This window comes from Homo sapiens, chromosome 17 (genome assembly GCF_000001405.40).
Source record: "Homo sapiens chromosome 17, GRCh38.p14 Primary Assembly".
Taxonomy (NCBI): Eukaryota; Metazoa; Chordata; class Mammalia; order Primates; family Hominidae; genus Homo; species Homo sapiens.
The window spans coordinates 53,614,057-53,627,310 of record NC_000017.11 but is presented as its reverse complement, the minus strand read 5'-3'; the positions used below and the strand labels follow the sequence as shown (position 1 = coordinate 53,627,310).

Genomic DNA, 13,254 nt, shown 5'->3' with positions numbered 1-13,254 from the left:
AATTTTTAAACTTTTATTTTGCATACTTTTTATGATGTGCAACTTAAAAAGAATTCCAAACACAACATCATTAAGTGTGTATCTTAATTTTATAACCAGATTGAAATCCTGGGAGTGTCCAAATGACTACTCAATTTCCTCTAATAATATTTTAGATAATAGCAAATTGCTTTTTGAATAATGCCCAGGTCCTTTAGTTTCATCAGTGAGGAAAAACTGCAGATTTGAAAGATGGAAAAGGTATTTTAAAAAGCAAACCTATGTTTTTCTTATAGTTTGGTTTGCAATTACCTAACAATAAAGTTTCTGGGAATATTCTCAAGAAATGCTTTAGAGCCAAACTGATATTTACTAAAGCCAAACATGGATGATGATATAGCCAGTCAAAAACCAAACATACAAATAACATATAAATTAGCAAAACCTAGGTTTTCTTCCCCTATTTCCTCCACAACCAGACTGATCTCCAGCTACTCTAAGAATCCAGGCAATTGTTAAAAAAAATAATAAAGAAACAAAAATAAAAATGAAAAACAAAGCTAATGGAAAGAGAGTTTGAACAATGATCAATGATGAATATCTTGACAGGAAACTTTCATCCCAAAAATAAGGTTTCTCAACTTGAATTTTGAGAAAATCACAAAGTAATACAGAAAACACCGTTATCAGAAAGAAGCCTGTTGAGAATCTGAAATCTGATATTTACTAATAATTAAACATAGCAGCATTTTGTGTGTTTTTTTAAGGCTTTCACCTATGTGTTGATTGTGGTTTCAAGATAAAGGAGTTCAGTGGCTACTAGGAATGGAGATGCAATAGACCTCCTTTGATGAGTCATGATCTATTTTAGCATGTTAAGCCTGTTAAAAGCTCTGACAAACCTAGTAGTAAAAAAACACTTTGTTATACTGGGCACTTCCCAAACTCTTATAAGCAAACATAAGTTCTATTTTTTAGACCAGTGCCATTGAAAACAGTTTTAAAAGTGTTTAGACAGAGTCAGTTATTAAGAAAATTAAATGAGGAATATTTATTTTTATTTTATAGGCATATCAAACATTGGTGGTAGTGTAGCAAAAAATAAATTGCTGATGAGTACTGCAATTATGCATAATCCTTATGGAAGACCATTTGGCAATATGTGTCAGAAGTTTTTAAACTTCTAAGCATTGGACACGATTATACCACAAGATGAACTGCATGATTAATTTACATAAAAGATACATGTTACAGGATTATTTGTAATATGTCCCCACAAAGGGGAATGAGCAAATACATTTTAGGATGCTATATATTGCAATAGTAATATGATGAAAAAGAATATTTAATGGAATGGGAAATATGCTATATAATTTAGTGAAAAAAGTGCAGGCCATAATACGTATACTATATGTATACCTTTGTATAAAAACCTATACACAATTGTATGTAGAAAAATAATAGAAATATATAAGCTAAAATGTTATCTCTGGTGAGGGTATGTGTATTTTTGTTTTCCTGCTTTGCTTATCTATATTTTTCACATATGTATGTATATATTTTATTATGAATAAATTATGAATATTATGTTTCTTATAGCAATATAAAACTACAAGAAATATATGTATGTATATATATTTGTATACTCCTTGTATTTTTATATTGCTATAATATATATAATATTCATAATAAAATAATATTTATAAAATAGCCCATAACACTTTACCTCATTTTTACTCCCAACAAAAAAATACTTGAAAGCTGAGACTTTGTAATGGATGCTTTGATCTTTTGTATGTCTGTCTTTCAAAAGATTGGAAATATTGAGTCACATTATAAAACCATGTTGCAACCTATTAAGTATACATCTTCGAGTTTGTAATTTGAGGTTGTATCATTTCATTCCTTCTAATTTACTAAAATATATATTTTATTTGAAGTGTTTTGTACAGGTTTTTTTAAATGTTACATATGTTTTAAATATATTTTAATAGGCAAAATACAAGAGAAGAAGTCTAAAGAATTAGAAGCTTATGGCCTCAGAGAGCATAATATGTGTCCCTTACAACATAAGACAGAGAAGATAATGTATGTTTCTCCCTAGAAAATCCAAAGGACTGGAAATGAGCTAAGGAGTTATTTTGATGGTTGGGGAAAGAGAGGCGGTAGCAGGGGCTAGCCTTCCAAAATTAATAGGAGCAAAGAATGTATCAGTGCTTCCTGTGAACACACATCAGCCTTGCATGCAAGGTTATATGGGGTCCTATCCAAAATGGTCACCTAGAGCAACAAGGCAAAATCAGCAAAGATAACCCAAAGTTAGTGCTGTATTTCTACAAAGCTAGGAAAGGGTACATCCAGCAAAAAGTGAGGTGTCTTCACCTGTAACAACACTGTAAGGCAGACATCCCCAGAGATGGCAAGAGGGTCTCCAAAGAAACCATAAAATAAATGTCAAAGGAAATGGTGAGTTTTGAACATATTGAAGAAGATTGGTATTCTGAATAACCACAACACTGTGAATCAAGTCAGAACTTTCTTCTCTCCTTACAAATCCTTCCTCCCCATGCTGCAACCCTGGAGAAGTTAGAAATGTTATTGACAAGGAGTAACACCTGGTAGAAAACAGCAGCTTTACAGGGCCAGTGAGACAAAAATAAAGTTGTTTTACGATTACGTTCCATAGATTTTGCTTGCTCAGGATAATTGTTATTTAGTGGGAAAGGAATAGGGTGGTCACATTAAAAAAATGAATCCCAGTTAAATTTCAATTTTATCTAAAGTCACTAATTTTTGTATATTGAAGCAAATGATGCTTGGGTATTAATACGTTAAAATATTCCCTGGTTGCCTGAAATTCAAATTTAACTGAGATTTCAATACTTTTATTTGCTAAATCTGGCAATCCTACCTTCTTTGTATTATTTAATGCGTATTGGACTAAAGTCTACCTTGCTTGATATCAGAAACTTTACCTTACTTTCTTTTTATTGCATTTTCCTGGTATGCTTTTGTATCCTTTTATTTTTAGCCATTCTGAATCACTTTAATTTTAGTTGTGCCTCATATACACAGCAAAGAATTGGTTTTTGATTTGTATACTCCAATCTGACAATCTTCTCTTAGTAAGCAAGGTAAATCCATTTGGATTTACTAAGATGGTTAATATGTTTGGTCTCAATTCTACCATTCCGTGTTGTTATTTATTACTTGCTAATATAAAGTTATTTCATACTGTTAGCCTGTTTTCTTTGCCTTTTAAATTTTTTTGTACTACCTTGGTAAATAGAGAAGACTATATTTGTATTCTAAATGACTTTTGTATGAATTATTCTCTGACTGTCTCCCTGTGGGGTTGATAAGGGCTTTCTGCTGCTCCTAACTATTAGTTAATATCAGGTGGGCCACTCCACGTGGCTGTCCCTTTCACAAGGTTTTGGGAACTAATGCTTCATTTCAAGCTTGGGGTGGGAACAGCATTCTGGTATCAGTAGTTCTAGAGTGATCAACTCTCCTTTGTAGCATCCTTATAAACAGCCCATATCTATGTATATAGTCCCTCTTTAAATGTTCCTAAACATGCCAAATTTGAGAGGACCATGCATTTTCGGCCATTGCTGACTAATACACAAAGTATTTAATTAACAAACAAGCTAACAAAACAGAAGTCATCGCAGTGGATGGCTACAATGAGAAGAAAACTCATTGAATATAGAAGATAATTTGGAAATATTTCCCAAAACTCATAAGCAGGGGATAGAGATAAAAATAGGAAAAAAATGAAATAGTAGGAACATTATAGACATTTGATGTATTTAAACTCTGTATTTCCAAAGGAAAGAACACCAATGTAAAGAATTGATCATGAAAGGAATAATAGCAGGGCTGACTTGAAGAAAAAAAGAACCTGAAAGTTGAAATGGATCACCCACATTCAGGAAAACTACTGAGGAGGAGATCTCTCCTTAACTTACACTTGGAAATACTCAGCGGGCATGAGAGATATTACTGTGACTGATCATGGAACTGTTTCCCAAAGAACTAAAAGTCAATTTTATATTCTTCTACACAGTCCCAGAGGCAGCCATTAGCAATCTATCCAATTTGGAAGATTAGATGAAATCTCCTTGCCATTCAGAATTTAATATAAAACTTAAGAATAAAAGGGAAGGAAATACTATTTCTCCAAACACATAGGCTGAAAAATGTAGCTGTCTAAAATTTTAGACTCTATGGGCCAAAAAGATCCATGTGGGTGATGACCCAGCCATCATTGCTGCTGTTCTGTTTGCAAACTTCTAGCACTCTAGGAATGCCCAGAATTGTCCACTGTGTAAATAAAAGGAAGAGAAATGGGACTGGCCTGGGAAATCTAAAGGATTAATATCAGAAGAAAACTGAGTAACATTCACAGAGGAAAAATAAATGTGACCCAAGAACTCTGTAGATAAAATAGCTCAGGTTTTATCGAAATGCACTTCAGCCTTATCTAATACCTTCTCTAAAGAAAAAAAATCATAAAAGTATTTTATGTAATTTATGCCAACAAAAATGTTTCAGAGTAAAAATATATGTGTCAGAGTATTATGTTATGATATTATTATTAACCTAAAATTAATAAGCAAAAAATGTAATTCATTCTAAGAAAATATTCAGTGGTGAAAATGATGTTCAAGAAGACAATATTTAATAGAGAAAGAAAACAGTGACCAAAAATCTTTTTTTAATTTTCTTTTTTTTGTTTTTGAGATGGAGTCTCATTCTGTCACCCAGGCTAGAGTGCAGTGGCGTGATCTCAGCTCATTGCAACCTCTGCTTCCCAGGTTCAAGTGATTCTCCTCCCTCAGCCTCCCAAGTAGCTGGGACTACAGGTGTGGGCCACCACACCCAGCTAATTTTTTATTTTCAGTAGAGATGGGGTTTCACCATGTTGGCCATGCTGGTCTCAAACTCCTGACCTGCCTCGGCCTCCCAAAGTGCTGGGATTATAGACGTGAGCCACAGCACCTGGCCTTTTTTTTTTTTTTTTTTTTTTGAGATGGAGTCTTGCTTCGTCACCTAGGCTGGAGTGCAGTGGCGTGATCTCAGCTCACTGCAACCTCTGCCTCCCGGGTTCAAGCAATTCTCCTTCCTCAGCCTCCCAAGTAGCTGGAACTACAGGTGTGCACCACCACAACCAGCTAACTTTTGTGTTTTTAGTAGAGAAGGGGTTTCACCATATTGGCCAGTCTGGTTTTGAACTTCTGACCTAAGGTGATCCACTCGCCTTGTCCTCTCAAAGTGCTGGGATTACAGGGGTGAGCCACCATGCTCAGCCAGAAATCTTATTAATAATCTATGTCATACTCATATCATAGATTAACATGGAGTCATTAATATTATATTTTCAAAGACTTTTCTTTGGTCTAGGAAAAGTCTGGTAGTATAATGTGGTTTTGTTTTGTTTTGTTTTTGTGTTTGAAGTAGAGTCTTGCTTTGCCACCCAGGCTGGAGTGCAGTGGCGTGATCTTTGCACACTGCAACATTTGCCTCCCTGGTTCAAGCCATTCTCTTCCCGTGCCTCCTTCTCCTGAGTAGCTGGGATTACAGTCGTGCACCACCACACCCAGCTAATTTTTGTATTTTTAGTAGAGACGGGGTTTCACCATGTTGGCCAGGCTGGTCTCAAACTCCTGACCTCAAGTATCTGCCCACCTCGGCCTCCCAAAGTGCTGGGATTACAGGCATGAGCCATTGTGCCTGGTCTGTTGTAGTATATCATTAAGTAAAATAAGAGGATACCAAAAACCTAGGTGAGTTTTGGTTTTAGATCTTCTAACAGTCTACAAATTATTAACAATATCATACCACATTACATCATTTCCAAGGTGTTCAGGTTTTCCCATTTTAGCATCCTGCAAAAGACATCCACTTTGCAGTTGATGGGGTCTTAGAATCCTTTAAACATGGTAATTTATTTATGACAAATTGAAAATAATGGAATTTTCTTACTTGCAAAGATAGATCATATCTATGATATTTTTAACCATTCACACACCTAATGAAATATCATTAAATTTATAGTACTTAATGTGTAATGTGATTGTTGGATTACTGAAATAATTTGTGAATGAACATACCACCAATATTTTCTTTGATTTTTTTTTTTTGTTTTGAGACAGTTTTGCTGAGTCAACCAGGCTGGAATGTAGTGGCACAATCACAGCTCACTGCATCCTCGACCTCCTGGGCTCAAGCCATCCTCCCACTTCAGCCTCACAATTAGCTGGGACCGCAGGTGCCTGCCACCAAGCCAACTTAATTTTCTTTATTTTGGAGAAATGAGGTCCCACTATGAAAATACTGGCCCCCAATATTTTCATTCCTCAAGAAATAAGAAATCCTTCAATATTCTAATATATTTTTGTCAGCAAATAAGAGAATTACTTAAATTTTTACTAAATTTTGAAAAAAAAGAAAAAGAAAGTGAAAACAGAGTAGAATTATTTCCTAAAGAGAATGTTTTAAGCAGTGCCTTCAAAGTATATGTATACACCGTGGTAGCTTGTATTCATACATTAAATCTAAATTTTAATGATTTCGTTTTAGTTGAAGATATGGACACAACTTCAGAATACCATCAACATTATGAATTTTCATGCATCTTTTTAAACACTGAGTTTTCTTGCACTATGCTAAGTTTACAGATATTGATTAGCAGAACTATGGAAGATTAAAAAGAATTTTTAAAACCTAAATCGTGTGCTGTTTTGAAGAGATCGCATGTCTTTGAAGTTTAAAAGAATATTAATGCAAAGTAATCCTTTTTATACAAAACCACATCTTTTACTACGATTTGAAATTTAGAAGTAATGTTACTGTCAAATACTGTAGAATATGTTATTTTTTAATTTAATTGGGGAAAAAAGCCTTAAATATTCTCAACTGTGAAGACACATGTATTAATGGTCAATATTCTGTATGAAAACTCTTGGAGGTAATTGGTTTGTCCCAGAGGTACTTATGGTTTTTTAAAAAGTAAATATAGGATCTGGACATCTAACCATCAACATGTCAGGTTTAAGTAGAATTTACATGAAAAATATATTGACATGAGTGTCTCGTTCCAATTTTAGATAGATGGATATTATCTTTACACATCTGCTTAAAATATATAATGGCATGTTATTTTGATATGCAGTGAGTAGTAACTTTTCTACATGCACATTAACTTATTTAAGGTAAGAGTATAGTGTAATATTAAAACTACTTATGGCTCATATGATTGTTTTCATGTTTAAGACATAAATCTCTTCAAATAGAGGATTTAACTCTTAAGGCTCAGACATGTCAATGTGGTTTGTTTATATCTTTGTGAGGAATAAAAATAATAAGAATTCCAGGTTTTGTCAGACATGAGTTATATTGCCTTGGGAAAGTTACGTGGTCATTCTCAGTCTGGGTTTCATTTGCAGACTAGAAGCAATTAGACTTTCTCTTAGATTCCCGTTGAAAATTACATTCAAAACACATATGTAAAGCACCTTATACCATGCTAGGAATATAATACATGTTCAAACACTTTTAGATTTCTTCTTTTTGTGAAAAAAGAGAAATAAAATCTTCTTAAATTATGGCCTTTCCCTTGGAAATAGATTATTGGTATTTTAGCTAGATCTTTAGGAGACTGCTGCAAATTCAAACACAGCACATTCAGTGAACATAAATGGCCTAAAATGCTCAGTTTTACTCTTAACAGGCTTTCCTGCAGTTCTAAAGTTGTACCACAAAGTGGATGTCTTAGTGCTCCACAAATGAACATTTACATTAAAAATGGCCTTTGACAGAATCATATGGATAATATTTGTCTTTAGTTCCAAAACTTATCTCTGTACCTAGCTAATTTACTTAGATTCATTAATCCCCATAGTTGGGTGCCTAAATGACCATCTTTTTTGATGTCCTAGACCTTCTGTAATTGCAGTTTAGAAATATGTCATCTCATCACTGTTTTACAGCAACCCTAACCTATGCTCTCCTTTGATAAATGAGCTTTAACGTGTATCTCTGTTTCTGAGAACTGTTTGGATAGCTTTCCTGGTTCCCCAGGCTCTTCTGTGTATGACACACTGCATGGCTTTCACCAGTCCTGTCTGTAAATCCCCACTTAGTGGATGCTGGAGTCCTGATACTGGTATTATTGACAGAATTCGCCTAACTGTTGACTCTTTGTTAGTTAACAAACTGTCTAGTTTTTCTGTTTTTATTTCGTTTGTTTTGCCACTATCTAGCACTCCAGATTACCTGGGTTTGCAAAATTGGAAGAATGCCTGATCATCCTGGGGCTAGATTATCAACTGTCATTTTACACTAAAGTTTGTTTTGTCATTTTCGTGGAGCTGAGATTCTTTCACTTGGCTGTCAGTTAACTCTAATTTATAAGTTAATACAAAAGCTTTCCTGATATCTTCATACAAAGACTAAAAAAATGAATTCAACAAACCCCAATGAATAAATTATTTTTAAAAACAGAGCCGGCCGTGGTGGCTCACGCCTGTAATCCCAGCACTTTACGCCTGTAATCCCAGCACTTTGGGAGGCCGAGGCAGGCGGATCACGAGGTCAGGAGTACAAGAGACCATCTGGGCTAACACGGTGAAACCCCATCTCTGCTAAAAATACAAAAAATTAGCCGGGCACGGTGGCACACACGCCTGTTGTCCCAGCTACTTAGGAGGCTGAGGCAGAAGAATTGCTTGAACCCGGGACCCAGAAGTTGCAGTGAGCAGAGATCGTGCCACTGCACTCCAGCCTGGGTGACAGAGCGAGACTCCATCCCAAAAAAATAAAATAAATAAAAAATAAAAACAGAAAACATATACATTAAGAGAAGGCATAGGTTCCAAGAAATAATGGAAGGCCCTAAAAATTGATAAACTATCTTAGGAAAATGCATTGATTATTGAGCATCAAAATATGTTTATTTTTACACTTGAAAGAGAAAGTTAAGGCCTTACTGGCTAAGAGATAGAAATGCCGAGTCCTTTAAACATTTCTAAAGAATAAATTACAGTTAGGTATGTGTATTACAGTTTAAAGGATAGCTTCCAAAAGAGAGAGCTAATATACTGCTGCCAACTTACCATAAAAAATAAATAAAACAAATTGTATCAGTTCAAGAGAAGCAAGGGAAGACTAAAAATGAAACCAAGAAAAAGGATGGTGAAAGAAATAAAATGGTAGATATAATGCAAATGTATCAGTCATTAAAACATATGTGTAGTTATTAAGTACCTATCTCACTACAGTAAAATAAAAATCTAGGTAGATCATCTTTAAAAGAGATATATTTAATACAAAACCACTCAGAAAAGTTGGAAGTAAAGAGATAGAATACATTGAATTGGTAATCAAAATATCAGAAAGAGCCAAGGCTAGCTGATTTAAAAGTCAATTTAAATCAAATATATTCATACTTCATGGAATAGGTGATTCTTATTTTATAAAGGCATTTCAAAAAAAACCCCATCTTATTTTTTTGTAAAAAATATTACAACAAATACAATATTAATAGTGAGACTTTAGAAGTTTACCATTAGTGATACCTGATAAAATTGCTGGCTTTCATCACTTCTGTTTTCTAGCATTGTACTGGAGGATTTAGCCAGGATAAAACAATAATAAGAAAGTATAAAATGAGAAAAATAAAACTTGAAAAAAAAAGATATAATCATTTTTCGATGGTATCATTGTCTGCATAAAAAAAAAAATCCGAGAACCTCAGCAGACCACTGGAATTAACAAGAATTCAGCTAAGTTACTAGGTACAAAACCAAAATACTAACATAAATATAGGTATGTAAAAATCCAAATTCTCACAGTATAATAAAAATAAAGATTTAACAATAAAATAAGAAATGATTCTATTGATGTTAGCAATGAAATCTATATGAAAACTAAAAATAAAAGATAGCAAATGAGGTCTAAAGAGAAAAAAGAAAAAAAAAGCATTATTGAAAGACATCAAACTATATCTAAATCAAAACAGAGTTAAACTATGCCTATGTTTAGGAGATATTAACCTATAAAAGAAATGTCAAATAAAAATTAAGTATGAAATTGAAGAAGCTAAGCATAGAGAGCAATAAACAAAAGGAAGAAGAAGAGACAAAGATAAAAGCTGGAGTTGTTCTAATTGAATATGTCCTCCATGTCACAAACACAAATACATTTGTGAGAAATGGGAAAGTTCCTATTCAAAGATTATAAAAAGTCACAATTTCTTACTATAAGATTGTTATCCACTATTAGTATGTGTGTGTGTGTGTGTATATACATATATATATATATACACATTTATGTATTCCAAACCAGCTGTCCTAGCTTGCTCTGGCATGCCTGGACAGAACTAGACAAGCCCCAGCCCATAGTGCATGCCATTCCTTATTTGGAGATGCTTCCTTAACTATCCTTGGGCAACTTCCTTTCCTTTCTTTGTTCTATTCCCCTTACCTAATTAAGAAAGTTTTAAACTAATAGCCAATTGGGTAAAATGTGAAATGTGAGGTCCTATTCCAGCCAACCGGAACCGGACACAGCAGTAGGGTAGATGCAAAAATACATATGCGTTATATAAATAACTGTCTTCTTTGTTCAGCGTGCTCTCGTGGCTGGACAGCTATTGAGTAGCACCCTTTCTGCAGAAAGTAAAGCTCGCCTTGCTGAGAGATCATTTGTTCCAGCGTTAATTCTTTTTTTTGCAACACCAAAAACTTCATTCCCAACACATTTTATAATATAATGGTCAATTTTCTAGAAAAACATTAGCTATAAAAATTGTCTAAGGGAAGATAGAAAACACGGATACAATCATAATTGTGGAAGGAATTGAAAAGTTAGTAAATTATTCATGCCCTTCAAAAGTCTCCAAATAATGCTGATTTCCTCTGAAAGCTCTATAAAGCAGATATTTTCCATCACTGAGATTCTTTCAAATTCTGAAAAAGATGAATCTCTTAACAAAGTATCATCACAAACTAGGATAATCTTGATGCACTCTCCTCATAAGATTAACACAAAAAAGAAATTATAGGCCTGTGTTTTTTAATACTACAATCTACTTTCCCCAGAGCTATATTAAGTTTTATTTTTAAAATTTATGTTCCTAGCCTCCATCCTACTTCTGTAGAATCAGTATCTTTGGGTTGGATGAGAATGAGTAGCTGAGCAGGTGTAAAGCTCAAAGAGATATGCTCTTTTAATAGGCTTTTTAATAGGTTTATTATTTTGTAACAATGTATACATATTGAGTTTTAGCACCACTGCTATAAACAAATTTAAGCAATAAACACAGTAGTATACATTCTACAAAATGTATGAAAACCAAATACAGAATAGGGAAAGCTCTGGAAGAATACATAATAAAAATATAAATAATGATTACCTCTAGACAGTGCTATGAGGAATTTCCAAAGAACTCTGATAAATTGTTTATGTATTGCTTGGGGTAGAATATTAATATAACCCATATTGTTATTATTAGCCAGTCCTAAGTTGAGGCTTGAAAATACATTTTTACCCTGGATTTTTATATAATAATATTGATTGTAACTTAATTTGAAGTGTCTAATGTAGACCGAAACAAAACATTCTTGCATTCGAACAGATTAAGGTTATATAGGGGAGAAAAAATATTGGCATTTTGTGGACTTTAAAATATGTCAGATATAATTTGTTCATTCCCATTTTGTGGAACTAGAATCAATAATGATCTATGTAAATTGACTTAAGTCAATCCTGTAGGAGGGGAATAACGAAAATGACATTTGCCATTTAAATGCCTCTTCTGGTTCCATTTAAAAAATGTCTCATTATGTTTAAGGTTTTACCAGCAAATGAGAAATCTCTATATATTATTGATTGGATTGTATAATTTCATAATGAAATGGAATAATTTACATTCTCAAATGCTGTGAAGTACGTTGAAATTACTATGATGAATATTTCCCTGATCAATAATTATTTCAGATTCTGCTTCATATGTTTCCAGTGCAGATTTTTTGTGCCGATCTACTTGTTTAGCTTGATCATTCAGAGAGGGGCTGAAGCTGTCATAAGAAGAATTGATACTGCTCTCTGGGCTAACTATCTGCAACATGCCATTTACATCACAACTAAGAAGCCCAAGATAGTTAAAACTGCATTCACTTTACTTATTACCCCATTATTATTTCCTAATTGAGCAGCATATTTTAGTGAAATATTTACATGCTTTGCTATTAGATTTGTATATAGTCCCCTCCCACTCCCTCCTTTCCACCCTGGCTACCCCCAGCACATTATAGTAAATATGACATTTTACTACCTCCTGAATGATTAGAATCACTGTAGATAATCTAGTTTGTCAATTGTCATCTTTACAAAAAGAATTGAAGAAACTTGTAATTTAGGGTGGGGTGGAATAATTTGTTTCTTCTAAAATCATTAAGGTATTTAGATTCTTGTAAAGTGTATAAAAATTGTCACTATCATTTTGCCTAGACACACTGCTTTCTGGGATCACAGTTCTTTGAGGGAATGATTATAAAGGCAATTATAAATAAGAAAATCAGAGCATTAAATGTCATGAAGGAAAAATGATTTCAATGCCAATGAAAGAATAGGTGTTGCTTCAGGAAATAGAAAAGGACTGATTTTTCTGTTTTAGTGGGAGGCAGCAGGTATGAGACAGATGAGGCTAACAAGGCCAAGACAGGTTGCTCTAGAGGGCATGCTTGGTATTATCTTTATGAGCAGATACAAGGTTATATAACCCTACAGATTGGTGAAGGATTTGTAGAAAGGATCCTGAGTACACACAAGTTTCACCCTGATTACACTGGGCTTTCCCTTGATTAACTGAGCTGAGTGTGTTTATATGTGTAATTCTCTGTTTTCCCTCTCTCAAATATCCAATACAATCTTCATCTGAACAGCAGTAATAGAGCCCCCAGGAGAGTCAGGTGTCAACGTAGCCAACGATGTTGACTAACCAACCATTATGCTCATCTAACAATGAAGTAGGTGATTTTGGAGCAGCAGACCTGCAGGTATCACATCATTTAGGTTTATAAGGCAGCAGTAGTCAGGAAGGTATAAATTAAGCTAGGCATTTTGTATGAATTTTATTTGATTCTTACAACAATACTGCAAAGTAAGGTTTTCCAAGTTGTATAGATAGCTCAGAGAGGTTCAGTAAACTGCTTAAGATTAAACAGACAGTATGTGGTAAGATTAAAATTCAGACTTGTCTTTTGC

At 33.9% G+C, this 13,254-nt stretch overlaps 1 annotated feature.

Annotated features, from left to right (window-relative positions):
• Positions 9,757-10,956: an enhancer, noted in NCBI's record as "MED14-independent group 3 enhancer chr17:51693716-51694915 (GRCh37/hg19 assembly coordinates)". NCBI's record gives its function as "activates an origin of replication core promoter dependent on BRD2, BRD4, P300/CBP and CDK7 cofactors, and independent of MED14, by STARR-seq in HCT116 cells {active_cell/tissue: HCT116}" and the evidence as "EXISTENCE:reporter gene assay evidence [ECO:0000049][PMID:35650434]".